General features: G+C 39.4%; 1 annotated feature.

Annotated features, from left to right (window-relative positions):
* Positions 338 to 538: a silencer, noted in NCBI's record as "peak4615 fragment used in MPRA reporter construct". NCBI's record gives its function as "represses an SCP1 promoter by STARR-seq MPRAs in K562 erythroleukemia cells {active_cell/tissue: K562}" and the evidence as "EXISTENCE:reporter gene assay evidence [ECO:0000049][PMID:32103011]".

Below are 17,532 nucleotides of genomic sequence, written 5' to 3'. Positions count from 1 at the left end.
ACTGCACCCAGCCAAGGGAGAGATTTTTTTAAAGCTTGAAAGCATTCTTATGAAATGGAAAAAAAGAACATTAAAGGATGATTTAGGAAATGGTGGGGGCAGGAACTGAGAGGTTGCTATAGGGACTATACACCATGAATCCTTGGTTTCTGACCTAGCTTGTACCATTTGAAAGCAATTTTTGGGCTTCCTAAAAAGTTTAGTCTATTCTGTGATTTCTGGCCAAATTTAGGACATGAATCCACCAAGAAGATGGATGTGCGAATTAATAAGCTTAAATAAACGTGGTCCCTTTGTGTCAGTGCTTTTACTGTTGGGAAGAAAAACTCATTTACTCAGCCCTCTGAAGTGTGAAGACAAACGGCAGGCCTCAATCCCCACTCATCCTCTCCACACCAGGCCTGCCAGGAGACGTCTGGTTGGTAAAGCAAGCAAAATGAAGTGTGCCACCTCAAGTGTGAAGGCAAGTTGTCCAGAGCCTGGAGAGATCAGTCAGCAACAAGGACTTGGGCCTGGCAACCAGAGGGGAAAGGGGTTTGGACAGCAGGCTCCAGAGAGAAAGGAAGGACTTTATAGTTACTCCAGCTGTCTCCTAATTAGTGACTCAGATGAGGAGTACTTGCAGGAGGAACCTTTTAGAAGTGAGTCACTCAACTCCTTAAGAGGCAGCTGGAGCTCCTTCCTCCATCCTCGTTATTTAATTCATCTCCCCCAGCCACCCTGCCCCTGCAAGCCAGCTTTGCACAGCCTTAAAATGATCAGGGAGTCTGGATTCAACTGGCACCATATGTTTGCCAAATTCATTCTACTTCTGTCCAAATATTTTGAAAATTTTGTCTAGTGTGGGCAGAAACCCCAAAAGGGTAAAGGCAATAGAAACCCATTTGTTTATCTTAACACATTGGCTCATTCTTTGTTCTCCCCGCACCTTACAATGACTATGACAATAACAACAAAAAAAAAAACTCTCTGCCTTCCCCATTCTCATTCTGATCCTTATAGACTTCTAATACTTTTTTGATTTTGTAATTCCTATTATCACCGCATATGCACCATTCCATATTGCGTTTTCCCACCTACATTGCCATTAGAGGTGGCAAGTGGGTGAGGACATCACAGAAACATAGAGAAACGTGTTTTAACATAATGACGATATCCCATTATCTAACATACTAACGGCTATCTGGCCTAGATCGGAATTTGGTTTTTTGTTCAGTAGTTACATATTCAAATGCATATAGTGCAGGAATAAGCACTCTGTGTGCCTAGCCATCTATACACCTATCTAGATTAGAATAAATAGATAGATAGATAGATAGATAGATAGATAGATAGATAGATAGTATTATGGTGGGTAGAATTTTAAGATGGCCCTCAAGACTTTCCCAGTCTCTGGTGTTTATACCCTTTTTAACTCCCAGTACTGTGAACAGAATGGATTTCACATCCATGATTAGGTTATGTTACATGGCACTATTGTCTTAAAGAAGATAATATGGATGAATCTGACTTAATCACATGAGCCCTTTGAATCTGGGTCCCAGAAATCAGAAAGATTCAAAGCATGACAGAGATTCAGTGTGAGGGAGATTCTCTGTTGAAGATGGAAAGGATCACACGGTAAGGAATGTGGGTGGCCTCTAGGAGCTGAGAGTGGCTCCCAGCTGATAGCCAGCAAGAAAACAAGTCTTCAGTCCTGCAACCACAAGGAACTGAATTCTGCCACCATCATGTGAACCTGGAGGCAGATTGCCCCCCAGTATCCATCAGACAATAACTTAACCTGGTGACATCTTAATTTCAGCCTTGTAATTTCCTGGGCAGAGAACCCAGTCACATCATACCAGACTTCTGATCTACTAAATGGTTGTTATAAATGTGTGTTATATTTGAAGCTGCTAAGTTTGTAGTAATTTGTTACACAGTGGCAGAAAATTAATGCAGATATGTATTTTCCTCCATTTCAATTATTTCCCTGGGATATATTTCCCAGAGCTACAATGGTTCCAGTTTCTCTTTAAACCCACCAACACTGTAATGCCATTTTATTTTTTTAGTTTAGTGCGCAGAAGTTAGTATTTCTTAAGCAACTGCTTAGATAAGCCCTCGGATAATATGACCGTTCATATCCAATTGCACTTGAAAAATCTCTTCTTGTTAATGCAGAGTGTAGGGCCCAGCATAATTTGGTTCTGTGCACTTTTCTGACAACTTCTAAATGCTATCCTTTGTATATCAGTCAGGGTTCAACTTGAGAAGCAGAAAGTGAATGACTGAATAAATGGAGAGAGGTGGAGATTTCGAATAATTGTCTTACATCTTTGTGGGAGCTGGCTAAACAAGTCTGACTTGCACTGAAGGAGTTGAGTGACAGTCAGCAAGGGAAGATCATGAGGAGGCGGGAGCTGTTGCCCACAGGCAGAATATCTTCTCTCTCTGACCCTTTCTCTCAGAAGTCTTAAACCTGCTTTTAAGGACATCCAGCTGATTAAATCAAGGTGGCAGATTACAGATTTAAAGACAACCAATTAGGAACTTTAACACCTCTTTAAAATTCCTTTGCTGCGGCACTTGGATTAGTGTTTGTTTGACTAACTGTGGAATGACTGCCTCAAAATGTTGACACATCAAAAAGCCATCACACTCCCTTAGCTCAGTCAGCTCCACACTCTAGAATTTTACTTTTCTTTTCCTAAGACATCTTTGGTGTTGTTTTCAGGATAATGCTGGCCTCAGAAAAATGAGTTGGGAAGTGTTCTCTCATTCTTCTGAAGTAGTTTATGTAATATTGGTATTATTTCTTCCTTAAATGTTTGAAAGAAGTCACTGGTGAAGACATCTGGGCCTGGAGATTTCTTTGTGAGAAATTTCTCCTCAATTTTGCTTTTTCTTCTTCCTACTCCTTCTCCTTCTCCTTCTTTTTTTGTTTTATGAGACAGGGTCTCACTCTGTTGCCCAGGCTGGAGTACAGTGGCAAAATCATGACTCACTATAGCCTTGACCTCCCAGGCCCAAGTGATCCTCCCACCTCAGCCTCCCAAGTAGCTGGGACTACAGGTGTTCACCACCACACCCAACTAATTCTTTAAAAAATTTTTTTGTAGAGATAAGGTCTCCTATGTTGCCCAGGTTGGTCTCAAACTCCTGAACTCAAGCAATCCTCCCTCCTTGGCTTCCCAAAGTGCTGGGATTACAGGCATGAGCCATCATGCCCAGCCTCTTCTTGATTTTGAATTCAGTTTCTTTAGCCTAGGGTCACTACTGGTAATTGTGTCTTTGAAGAAATTTGTCCCTTCCATCTAAGCTGCCAAAAGTAATTCATAGTATTTCCTTATTAACTTTTTCATGTCTGTATGTTCTGTAGGAATATGCCCTCGTGTATTCTTGACAGTGGTAATGTGTGTTCTCTTTCTCTTCCTCTCTCTCCCTCCTCTTCCAACCCCAATCTAGCTACTGTTCCATGTAGGTAGGGATTTATTGATTTTATTGACCTTTCCAAATGGCCTACTTTTTGTTTCTTTGATTTTTCTCTGTTGTTGAAGTGTTTTCTATTTCAATGGTTTCTGCATTATTTCTTTCTGCTGTTTTTTTAATTTAATTACTCTTATCCTCTACCTTAAAGGTGAAACTCTATAACAGTGATTTTATGCCACTCTTTTTCTCTAATATAAGCATTTCAGGCTATCAATTTTTATTTAAGGACTACTGTAGCTCATAATTAGGTTTTAATTGTCATTAGTTCCAACTCTTTTGCAGTTTTCTTTTAGATTTTTTCTTTGACCAGTGAGTCATGGAGAAATGTGTTTAATTTCCAAATACTTACAGATTTTCCAAATATAATTTTATTATTGATTTTTAATTCCATTGCAGTCAGAGAACATATTTTATATGAGTTCAATCCTTTTACATTTATTGAGACTTTTCTCTTGGCCAAGCTTACGGTACATCTAGGAGAATGGTTCTTGTGCACTTGAAAAGACCGTGAGATCAGTTATTAGGTGAAGTTTTCTCTAAGTTTCTCTAAATTTCTTAAATTATTTTCTAGTGTTGTAAATCTTCCATATATTTCTTTTTAATTTTAATTATTCTAACAATAACTAGATAGAATATAATCTTCTATTATAATTATGAATTCATCTAGTTTTTTTAGTTCTCTCAGGTTTTGTATAATGTATGATTTAGAATTGTTATGCATTTTTATGAACTGAAAGTCCCTCTCTTCCTGAAGTGTACTTCAATATTACTATAGAGACTTTGCCTTTCTTATGGCTGTGCTTGCATATCTGTAACTACTCATAGTACACCTTGCTTTAATATTATAATTCTTTACATCTGATAGAAGAATCTTACAACAAAATGTTTTCATTTACCGTCTTCCAGGTCTTTGTGTTATTTTTGTTACCCACTTTATTTTTATATAAGCTATATATCCCACACCACACTGTTATTATTCTTGTTCTGTTATGAATGAGAAAAGCTTTTCTGTTTAACCATGTATTTATCATTTCTGGCAGTCTTTGCTCCTTTATGCAAATCTAAGTTTCCATCTCGTATTATTTCATTGTTGCCCTTCAGGCTGAAGGGCACACAGACTGCCCTAAAGACCTTCCTTTAGGGCAGGTCTGTGGGCAATGAATTCCCTCAGCTTTTGTTTTTCTGAGAAGCCTATATTTCACCTTCATTTAAAAAATATGCTAGATGTATAGTTCTAGATTAACTGTTTTATTCTTGGGGCATCTTAATTATGTTGTTACATTGGCTTCTGGCTAGCATTGTGCTTGAGAAAAAATGTTGTTCTTATTGTGTCCAGAATTGGTGGGTTCTTGGTCTCACTGACTTCAAGAATGAAGCCGCGGACCTTCGCGGTGAGTGTTACAGCTCTTAACGTGGCGCGTCTGGAGTCTGTCCCTTCTGATGTTCAGATGTGTTCGGAGTTTCTTCCTTCCGGTGGGTTCATGGTCTCGCTGGCTCAGGAGTGAAGCTGCAGACCTTCGCGGCGAGTGTTACAGCTCTTAAGGTAGCGTGTCTGGAGTTGTTCATTCCTCTTGGTGGGCTCGTGGTCTTGCTGGGCTCAGGAGTGAAGCTGCAGATCTTCAAGGTGAGTGTTACAGCTCATAAAAGCAGCGTGGACCCAAAGAGTGAGCAGTAGCAACATTTATTGCAAAGAGCAAAAGAACAAAGCTTCCACAGTGTGCAAGGTGACCCGAGCAGGTTGCCAATGCTGGCTTGGGCAGCCTGCTTTTATTCTCTTATCTGGCCCCACCCACATCCTGCTGATTGGTAGAGCCGAGTGGCCTGTTTAGTCAGGACGCTGATTGGTGCGTTTACAATCCCTGAGCTAGATCCAAAGTTCTCCACGTCCCCATCAGATTAGTTAGATACAGAGTTTCCACACACAGGTTCTCCAAGGCCCCACCAGAGCAGCTAGATACAGAGTGTCGATTGGTGCACTCACAAACCTTGAGCTAAACACAGGGTGCTGACTGGTGTGTTTACAAACCTTGAGCTAGATACAGAGTGCCGATTGGTGTATTTACAATCCTTGAGCTAGACATAAAGGTTCTCCACATCCTCACCAGAGCAGCTAGATACGGAGTGTCGATTGGTGCACTCACAAACCTTGAGCTAAACACAGGGTGCTGATTGGTGTATTTACAATCCCTGAGCTAGATATAAAGACTCTCCATGTCCCCACCAGACTCAGGAACCCAGCTGGCTTCACCTAGTGGATCCCGCACCGGGGCTGCAGGTGGAGCTGCCTGCCAGTCCTGCGCCCTGCACTCGCATTCCTCAGCCCTTGGGTGGTCGATGGGACTGGGCGCCGTGGAGCAGGGGGTGGCGCTCGTTGGGGAGGCTCGGGCCGCACAGGAGCCCACGGAGGGGGTGGGAGGCTCAGGCATGGCAGGCTGCAGGTCCCGAGCCCTGCCCCGTGGGAAGGCAGCCAAGGCCCAGCAGAAATCGAGCGCAGAGCCGGTGGGCCGGCACTGCTGGGGGACCCAGTATACCCTCCGCAGCCACTGGCCGGGGTGCTAAGTCCCCCATTGCCCGGGGCCAGCAGGGCTGGCTGGCTGCTCCGAGTGCGGGGCCCACCAAGCCCACGCCCACCCAGAACTCCAGCTGGCCCGCAAGTGCCGCACACAGCCCCGGTTCCCTCTCCTGTCTCTCCCTCCACACCTCCCTGCAAGCTGAGGGAGTGGGCTCCGGCCTTGGCCAGCCCAGAAAGGGGCTCCCACAGTGCAGTGGGGGACTGAAGGGCTCCTCAAATGCCACCAAAGTGGGAGCCCAGGCAGGGGAGGTGCCGAGAGCAAGCGAGGGCTCTGAGGACTGCCAGCACGCTGTCACCTCTCATTATCATTACTGCCTACGTATAATATGCGTTCTTTTCCTTTGCTTCTGAAAATGGCCCAATTGTCCCACGGAACTGATGTTTATGGCTTCTTTTGCATAAACATAGAAATTGACCCTCCCATTCTTAAAACTTGAGAAAGTTACATTTGTCTTATCTGAGGTCCTCTCTCAGAAAACCAACCATCAGTTCTTCCAGATAGTATCAAAGTACTGAAACTTACCAGATCACTGCATCTGGACAATGAGACACCAGACCTCTCACCCACTATGATTGCCTAACCAACCACCTGCTTTCTGTTGACCAACTCCTTTTCCTTACCCCTCCCTAATTTCTGTTTTCCCACACATGGTTACATTTCTTCCTTGCTATATAAGCACCTAATTTTAGTCACGTGAGACGGATTTGAGACTGATCTGCCATTCTCCTTGGCTGCAACACTTGAATAAAGCCTTCTTTTCTGGCGATACTCACTGTTCCAGTAATCAGCTTTCTATGTGGCAAGCAAAAGTACCTGGACCAAACCCCTGGCATTTCGGTAACACTTCTTTCAAAACTTTCTGTTTACCTTGGTTTTCATCAAGCTTAATATGATGCTTCTAGGTGTGATTTTCCTTGTGTGTATTCTGCTTGGGTTTGTTGAGCTTCTTGGACTTCTGGATTAATTTTTTAAACCAAATTTAGAAAACTTTTAGTCATTTCTTCAAATATTTTGTGGGCCTAATCTCTCTCCTCTCCTTCTAGGACTCCAAGTACTCCTATATCAAACCATTTGATGTTTTCCCTCAAGTTACTGAAGATATGTTTGCTTTTTCAGTATTTTTTTCTTTCTCTTCTTCCATTTGCATAGTATCTATTTTTCTGTTTTCAAGTTCACTGATTTTTACCCAGTTCCCACTCTATTGTTAAGCTCATCCAGTGAATTTTAAATTTCAAATATTGTAGTTTTCAGTTCTTGTATTTCCATTTTGTTTTCTTAAAAAATATTTTTATCTTTTTTGTTGAGATGTTCCATATGTTTACTCATTGTCTGCCTTTTTCTTTATGTCCCTAAATTTGTTTATATAAACTTTTAAAAGTCTTTGTCAGCTAATTGAAGCATGTATATTTTCCTGGGGTGTGCTTCTATTGACTTTTTCTCCCTCCTGATTAGAGTTCACATTTTCCTGCCTTTTTGCATGTCTTAAAAATTTCTATTGTGTTCTGGACATTGTGGCTGTTAATATCGTTGAGAGTTTACATTATGTTGACTCCCCTTAAAACATGTTGAGTATTGTTTTAACTGACAATTACTTTAGCGGTGACTTTGCTTTATTATATCAAGTCTTGGTTTTAGTCTTTATTTGGATGGTGATAGAGAATCTGCACTTTTAAGTTATGGCCTTTTTGGAATCTCAACTGAATTTTCAGGTGCTCAGTGAGATCATGTCACTCTGGCTGATCAGAACTCTAAGAATCACCCATTCCTGTGTCACCTCCATAATCTATTTATCTCAAAGATGAATCGAATCTCTGTTCATTTTATAGCTCAATAGCTCTTCTCTGTGAGGCCTTGTGGAGTCTCATGCTGCCATGAACAGTTTATTATTTGGCCAAAGACTTAAGAGGGCCCCAGTGCAGATTTCTGGGGTTCCTTCTCTGTACAATTCTCTCTCCTTGCTTCTGTGCTCCAAAAATTCCATTTGCCTCAGTAGCTCTGAATTTCATTTATGCGTGTGTTTCCTTTTTTTTTTTTTTTTCAAGGAAATAACTGCTCTCTCCTTGGGCTCCCTTCCCTACGTTAACATTTTGGAAGTGCCCACAGATGCCTTGGGTACCAGAATGAATGCACAGTTTACTTCATGTGTTTTATGTTTCCTTTCAGGGATCACAGATCCATACTATCTGTGGTTCAGAACATTAAATGTCTCTTTATATATAAAAAGGATAGTAATTTTAATACCCATTATTCTATCATGACCAGAATCAGAAAGTTTTCAAAAGTTAGTTTAAACATCTCTAATGTATATTCTCTATCATATTATTATATCATATATGTAGTTCTTCCATCACTGTGGATTACAGTTGTCCCTTGGTATTCAAAGGATTGGCTCCATGACTCCTTGTGGGTATGAAAATCTTCAGATGCTTGAATTCATTACATAAAATGATGTAGCATTTGCATTTAACCTATGCACATCCTTCTATATACTTTAAATTATCTTTAGGTTACTTATAGTACCCAATACAATATAAATGCTATGTAAATGGTTGTTATAGTGTACTTTTACATTTTTTATTATTTTTAGAGTTGTATTGTTATTTTTATATTTATTTTTTTCAAATATTTTTGATCTGCAGTTGGTTGAACCCGAGGATACAAAGAACCAACTGAATTTCCTCATGTCTTATAATTTTGGGTTGTGAAGTAATCATTAACAGAATTTTACCTATGGGAATTCTATACAGTGTAGGTTGAGGACATATTCTTCCAGGTTATTTTGTCTTCTCTTCTTCCAAGAGCCCCATGAGTATTACTGGAAATTTATACATTGATTTCTTATATTATTTACTTTTTAAAAGTTAACATCAAGCCCAGGTAAAGGAGAGAGCTGTGTTTTTAGTCTTAGTAGAGAGATTTTATTTTTCTACCTCTACCCAACAATATCAAGCATATGAAAAGAAGTATAATATCAGTAGTATTTAAGGAAATGAAAAGTAAAACCACTGTAAATAGCACTAAAATCATCATGGTGACTAAAACTGGAGAGCTTGATTATGACCAATAGCTGTTAGGAATGTGAAACAATGAGAACTCTTATTTCTTCCTTCAGTGTGATTTGTACAATCATGTTGGATAATTGGCTGGCATTATGTGGTAAACCAAAACATTTGCCTATCCAATAGTTCATCAATTCTATGACTAGGGGAATATCTAAGAGAAATAAATGCATACATCTATCAAAAGATAGTAGTTGGATAATTAAAATGTTTTATATTCATACAGTGTGGTACCATGCAAACCCTGAAATGGCCTGAATGAAATAATATAGAGCAATGAGAACAAATAAATCACTGCTGCATGAAACAACAGAGATGAATATAAGAGAAATAATACTGAGCACCCCAAAAAGCCAGACATTTTAAAAATATGTTAAATTATTATATTTTGATAAAATCCAAATGGTCATAAAAGTTGGAAAAGTAGTTATTTCTGGGGTCCTGTGTAGGAGTAGGAATTGACCATATAGGAGTATACTAAGGCCTTCTGTAATGCTGGAGATGTTCTATATCTTGATCTAGGTGGTGGTCACACAGATATACACATGTGTGAAAATTCACTGAGCCCTATGCTTGAGATGTATGCCAAGCCTCAGTAAAAAAAATTTTCTAAGTAGGTATTATGCAACAATCTTTAACAAGTAAAATCTATCTCTAATCTTTAAAAATATGAATTAAACTATTTTAATTTAACTTTGAATGTGAAATCAAAATATTTTAAAATTCCTCCTCACATTGTTAATTAAAGGATGGATCTTCTTATACAATCAAAGCAAAAACCGATTCCTTTAAGCAAATTAGACACAACTACTTTTATGCCTCTCCCAAAGTTTTATATTTAGGGCTTTTGCAGTCTGCAGGAACTAAATTCAATTTCGTACTTGAAAATCTTTCCCCTGCCAGATGCAGATTCTGCTGTTTGCCACTGATAATTTAAAGGTGCTAAATTCAGACACTTTCAAACTATGTTTCTCTAGAGATCACCCTTCTTTCTATACATGAAGCAATTAAAAATAAGCTCCTATTCTGTTGCTGCTAGCCCTTAGATATCAAAGTGGAAAAGTTGGAAATTAGATATTTTATAGGGTCAGGGAAAGAGTGGCTTTCGCCAGGAATTGCGCTAAGTTTAATTTATGTTAGATGAAAGATTCATTTTTGAAGCTTCTTGGGATCTGTGATATTTGATGATATTTTACTTTTTATTGCACTCTATCTGGGATGATTCCAAAAATTTCTTAGTACAGTTTTAAACAGTATCCATTCTTGAAAGTTTTTACCTGCTTTTATTGAATCAGAAAAAGTCAAAGTTCTTTTCCTTATCAACCATTTCTAAATTAACTCCATATTTAAAAGCTGGAATTAATTTGAAAGTAAAAAAGGACAGCATCCACAGTGTACACCTATTGCTTTGTCTTCACAGCATGGCCATTCTTTTGGAAACATGCCCCTGTTTCTGAGAACTGTTCCTCCCCCTCTGCCATGCAGTTCCCATCCAATATCCTCTCATGACTCCACCCTCTAGTCATATTTGCTTGTCCCAGAAGTAGCATCTAATTCAAGTGGGTCCTCTAACCTATTTATCTATCCATCTATTTATTTATTTACAGTTATTTTTGCATTGTGGCTGAGAAATAAATCCACTTCTTCCCAGTGGTTGGATTAATGAGAAATACTGCTCAAGAATTGTTGGTGACCATATTTCACACCAAAGCCAATACAAAGATGAGCATATATCTTATATCCTGTATAGTCTTTTCTTATTAAGCCCAAAGGACTTCCTGACCATTTGCCACATGCTAACACATTCTTGATCTGGTAAAATATGGGATGGTAAACTGTCAAAAGGAAAGGAAGGTAAAGAAATACCTAGGTTGCTCAACTTCCTTGAGATTATTTTATATTACCACAAAGGAAGACAGTGAATGAATGAATGAATGAATGTGATATTCTTGCACATAACTTTTTGCTGCTAATTTGAAATATTTCTTTAGAGAGTAGAAAAAGCCTTAAGTGAAGAAAGAGAAGCTGCAATTTGATGTTATCATTATCCATCATCTTGGACATAAGAGGGATGTAGGTTACTTTGGGGAAGAAGCACTGACAGGTTTGTACCAATGGCGCTTCATGGTGGATAAACTTTTTATTTTTCCCTCCTAATATTGGAGTGGAGGGTGACCCCCATATATGATTGCCCTTTGAAACAACTAAAGGATGGATACATCACCAGCCCAGAACCAATAAACAATGAAGGGTAACATTAAAGTTTTACCCAATGGTATCTTGCGTAGAAAGGTGTTGAATTTGGTCTAAAACCTCTTCTGATGGATATCTCTAACTTTCTAAACCTTGTCCTTATGACCTTCTTAAAGAAATCTGTTAGTTAATCTTGTTAACCCAGTTAAGATAAAAGGATTCTCTACTAATCTTTAGTCAACAATTCCCCTAAAGTATAAATATCCTGGTGTCATTTGCAGAAAGTCTGAGTAAATTCAGAATTCTCATAGGTAGGAAATATGAGAATGTGATTGGGAGCCTGGAAGTCATGCATGATTGGGCGCTTGTTGCTGAATCTCTGACATCTGGCTCAGTGCCTGGTGTGTAGGTGCTTAATAAATATTTGTTGAATGTATGAATCAATGGGTTTCATTTTGAAACATGGACCAGTAGTCTAGCCATTAAGTCGTTTTTCCATTTTTTATCCTTTGTGTTTGGTGATCTGTACAAAATTTTTAAAGGTAGGGTTGTTTGAACATTTTTTCCGAAATTTTTCTGAAAAGAAAAAGGTCCACTTTGCCCGTTAAGCAGAAAAGATCTGAGTGGCATTCTTTAGGAGGGCCTTATGTGTATTACAATTCTTGCACCCCCTAATGGCCATATATGGGATCACACTTCAGAATAAGAAAGAAACCAAGTTGGAAATAGGACCATATTTTCAAAAAATATTGTAATCTGGACCCTGAACCCGGGCAAGTACAGTAAAAAAGATGCTCTTTTTCAGAACTTGTGTGTTTTTTGATGACCACCAAGAAGGGACAGATTATCTATATGACTGAATAAGCTCCCTGTGAACTTAAGGATGAGGTCAACAATGCTCACAACACAAATTAACAGAAGCAATCTTTTATAGCCTATCTTTGCAAATCAGAAAGTCTAGAAGACCCCATTTAATAGATTTTGGAAGAGCCAATTTAAAGTTTGGTTCCTAGCATTTGGAGAAGTGGCACTGTCAGCCTCAGCAATCTTTCTAGCGCACCAGGAAAAAATGCAACTTGTTTGGATAGAGCAAGAGTATGGTGGAAATTAGTTGACATTTTCCCATTTCAGATTTTGCCTCCCCCCCTGGCCCCATTCTCCCTGGGTTTTTGTTTAGAAGTAAAACTTTTAAAAGTCATATCTTTTCTGCAATCCACCTCAGGCTGTCTTGATAGTTATTATGGAAGTGAGTAAGGGGTCTACAGAGAAAGGTCAATTAGTAGACAAACTTCTGAAAAGGCTGAACCAAAAATACAGCAGGCTGAATCCAAATGTATATATCTACCCCTCACAAACCTCATAAAGGTGAGAGTTAAAAAATAGGAAGACCACCAACTTATAAAAAGAAGAATAGGAGATTAGTCAAAACTGGAGATTAGGCCGGCGTGGTGGCTCACGCCTGTAATCCCAGCACTTTGGGAGGCCGAGGTGGGTGGATCACTTGAGCTCAGGAGTTTGAGATCAGCCTGGCCAATATGGTGAAACCCCGTCTCTACTAAAAATACAAAAATTAGCTGGGTATGGTGGCCTGCGCCTGTAATCCCAGCTGCTCAGGAGACTGAGGCAGGAGAATCGCTTGAACCTGGGAGGCGGAGGTTGCAGTGAGCTGAGATCCCGTCACTCTACTCCAGCCTGGGCGATAGAGCGAGACTCCGATTCAAAAACAAAAAAACAGGCCGGGCACGGTGGCTCCTGCCTGTAATTCCAGCACTCTGGGAGGCCAAGATGAGTGGATCACTTGAGGCCAGGAGTTCAAGACCAGCCTGGCCAACATGGTGAAACACCATCTCCACTAAAAATACAAAAATTAGCCGAGCGTGGTGGTGGGCATCTGTAATCCCAGCTACTCGAAGGCTGAGGTGGGAGGATCTCTTGAATCTGGGAAGCAGAGGTTGCAGTGAGCCAAGATTGCGCCACCACACTCCAGCCTGAGTGACAGCGAGACTCCATCTCAAAAAAGAAAACAAAACAAAACAACAACAACAACAAAAATCTGGAGATTTTACAAATTTCCATAAATTTCAAAAGGCCAAAAGTGAAACGGTTACCTGATAACTGACTTAGCTAACCAGGTAAAGCATAAACCTGGTGCTGGAGATGGTAAAGGCAACAAGAAACATGTGTGAACTGTGACCCCAGAACCCAAAGAAGACACATGAATTAGAAACACGAATTACTTCTAAAGAAGTGAAGGTCTCTGTTGGGTGAATGTGAAAAAAAAAGATACAGTGATAGTTTAATAGCTGGTAGAATCTATCCATCAGCTCCCCTACTGCAGGGAAATCAGTGGTGTCCTGGCAAGAGAAAAGGAGAATTACTTTCTGGAAAGCCTTGCATAGCTGAGGTGAGATGTTGTGCAGAGAAAATTGGCCTCCATTCTGGATGATGAAACTTTGTGGGCCTCATTCACTATCTGATACTGAAATACTGATGGTCAGACATACGCATCTCAGAAAGGAGAGTGGAAGACTACTCTCTGGGGATACTGACCTTTAAATCTGTCTAAGCACATTACTTGTATTCAAATAAAATTAAACTAAAAGAAAGAGGGAGAGAGAGTTGATACATGACTCATCAGGAAGTTCAGCTCTAGTTACAATTTATAGCAAGCTACCTAGATAGTCTATGTTACTGTGGCTAAAAAGGTTGTGAGATGGGTGTGGGAGGATAGTCAGCTTTTTTGTGGGGGCTCCAGAGGTCCTCAGTAAGAACAGTCCTCTGACTATGCTTATATAAGAAGTTTAACTTCCTCTGGGTTAATTCTTTGGGAGGCAAGAATAAGGAATTTATGATAGCCCCAATTTTGTAGAAAAGGGGAACAACTCTTTTCATGGGAAATCCAAGAAGGAGGGATTGGGTATGTTCAAGGAAAATTCTCCAAACACATATCTATCTTTAGAGCACTCAAGGGTAGGGGTCCTGAATGTCCTGTTTTATTAACTTTGTAGTAACATGAAATACATGGCTTCTTATGTCTCTCCCAGAAATTTATGTCCCACTCTCTTAGCAGCTTTCAATAGAGGGAAGGTATAGCAGACCTTGTTAATGCCCCCCCAAATTCTCTTTACCATCTGGGACAGCCATTCCCTGTTTCTGAAAGATTGCACACATATGAGGTTCACACATGTGAGCTCTCCAGATTGCCCTTGGTTGACAAAAGCTGCCTTGCCAAGCCAGCGGCCTATCCAGTTAAATCCCCACCCACCGAGGGATGGGGTCTGAATGGGCTATGTGTCATTCTCCTTGAGAACACTTAGCCTTTATCCTGGAACTTTCTATCAAGGCTCCTTAAATGTCAAATTACTCAAAAAGATGCTTTAAGAAACCACTCCTGGCCAGGCGAGGTGGCTTACACCTGTAATCTCAGCATTTTGGGAGGCCGAGGCAGGTGGATCACCTGAGGTCAGGAGTTCGAGACCAGCCCGACCAACATAGTGAAACCCCGTTTCTACTAAAAATACAAAATTAGCCGGGCGTGGCGGTACATGCCTATAATCCCAGTTACTCAGGAGGCTGAGGCAGAAGAATCGCTTGAACCTGGGAGGCAGAGGTTGCAGTGAGCCCAGATCACACCATTGCACTCCAGCCTGGGCCATAAGAGCGAAACTCCATCTCAAAAAAAAAAAAAAAAGAAAGAAAGAAAGAAACCACTCCTGAGGCAGGTGACATCAGCAAGATGGCAAAATAGGAGACTCTGGACTCTCAGACAAAATAGACTTTAAGTCAAAACCTGTCTCCAAAGACAAAGTTCATTATATATTCATAAAAGGGCCATTTCAACAGAAAGATTGTAAATATATATGCACTCAACATCAGGGCACCTAAATATATAAAGCAAATATTGGCAGAGCTAAATTAGGGAGAAACTGACAGCCACAAAATAACAGTAGGAGACTTTGTTACTCCATTTGAAATAATGGATAGAACATCCAGACAGGAAATCACCAAAGAAACAGTATATTTGAACAACGCAATAGACCAAGTCAATTTTACAGACACATACAGAACTTTCCTCTCAACAGCAAGAGAATGCACATTCTCAAGTGCACACAGAACATTCTCCAGGATAGATCACATGTGAGTTCACAAAACCAGTACTAATACATTTAATAAGACCACAGTCAAACCAAGTATTTTTTCTGACCGCAGTGAAATAAAACTAAAAATCAATAGCAGTAAGAAAATGGGAAAATTCACAAATATGTGGAAACTAAACTGAACAACACACTCATAAACAACCATTTAGTAAACAGGAAGTCAAAAAAGGAGTTTAAAAATATCTCCAGGCAAACAAAAATAAAGACACAGTATACCAAAACTTATGGTAAAGCAAAGACAGCACTTAGAGGAAGGTTGATCACAATAAACACCTACATTTAAAAAGAGAAAGACCTCAAATAAACAAACTAAATTTATACCTCAAGGAATTAGAAAAAGAAGAATAAGCCCACAGCTAACAGAAGGAAGGAAATAACGATTAGAGCAGAAATAAATTGAAATACAGACTAGAAAAACAATAGAAAAAATAAACACAACTAAGTTTTAAACACAGATAAACAAAATCAACAAACTCTTAGCTAGCCTAAGAAAAGAGAGAAAACTAAAATAAATAAGTCAGAAATGCAAGAGGACACATTACAATGGATGCTTCAGAAATTAAAAGAATCATAAGGAACTATTATTAACAGTCATATGCCAACAAATTGTATAACCTAAAAAAAAAATTTCTAGAAACATACAACGTATCAAGACTGAATCAAGAAGAAATAGAAAGCCTGAACTGACCAATAACAAATAAGATTGACTCAGTAATCAAAATGCTCCAAACAAAAACCAAAAAACAGCAGCCCATGACCAGATAGTTTCACAGGTGAATTCTACAAAACACTTAAAAAAATTAATTCTAATCCCTCTTAAACTCTTCCAAAAAATAAAAAGGATAGAATACTTCAAACTCATTTTATGAGGCCACATTGCCCTTATAACAAAGCTAGACAAAGATACCATAAGAGAACAAAACTACAGGCTAATATCCCTAATGAAGACAAATGCAAAAGCCCTCAACAAAATAATAGCAAACCAAATTTAACAGCACATTAAAAGAGTTATTCACGGCTGGGCACGATGGCTCACGCCTGTAATCCCAGCACTTTGGGAGGCTGAAGCGGGCGGATCACGAGGTCAGGAGATCAAGACCATCCTGGCTAACACGGTGAAACCCCGTCTCTACAAAAAAAAAAAAAATTAGCCAGGTGTTGTGGCGGGCGCCTGTAGTCCCAGCTACTCGGGAGGCTGAGGCAGGAGAATGGTGTGAACCCGGGAGGCGGAGATTGCAGTGAGCTGAGATCACACCACTGCACTCCAGCCTGGGCGATAGAGCAAGACTCCGTCTCAAAACAAACTAACAAAAACAAAAGGGTTATTCACCATGACCAAGTGGGTTTTAGCTTTGAGATTCAAAGCTGATTTAATATACACACATCAATAAATATGACAAACCACATTAACAGAATAAAAGAGAACACCACACGATTATCTTAATAGATGCAGAAAAAGCATTTGACAAAATTTAACATCTAGTCATGATAAAAACTCTCAGTACAGGGAACGAAGAAACTTACCTCATCACAATAAAGACCATATGTGAGAAGTTCACAGCTAACATCAGAATCAGGAAACTTGAGCCTATTCCACTAAAATATGGTACAGGGCAAGGATGCCCACTCTCACTACTTCTATCAAACAAATTCTAGCCAGAGCAATTAGACAAGAAAAAGAACTAAAGGGCATTCAAATCAGAGAGGAAAAAGTAAAGTTATCTCTGTTTGCAGATGACATGATCACATATATAGAAAACCCTAAAGATTCAACAACAACACCAAAAATTATTAGAACTAATGAACAAATTTAGTAAGGTGCAGGACACAAAATTAATATACAAAAATCAGTGGTATTTCTATATGCTAACAAGAACTATTCAAAAGAAAATTAAGAAAAAAATCCCATTTATAATAGCAACAAAATTAATAAAATACTTAATGGTAAACTTAACCAACAAAGTGAAAGGCTTGTACACAGAAAATTGCAAATCATTGATGAAGGACATTAAAGAAATAAATGGAAAGACATCTCGGGTTTGTAGATAGGAAGGATTAAAATTGCTATAATATTTA

Source organism: Homo sapiens, chromosome 3 (genome assembly GCF_000001405.40).
Source record: "Homo sapiens chromosome 3, GRCh38.p14 Primary Assembly".
Classification (NCBI taxonomy): domain Eukaryota; kingdom Metazoa; phylum Chordata; class Mammalia; order Primates; family Hominidae; genus Homo; species Homo sapiens.
Note: the sequence above shows the minus strand (reverse complement) of the source record. Positions and strands in the feature narration are given on the sequence as shown.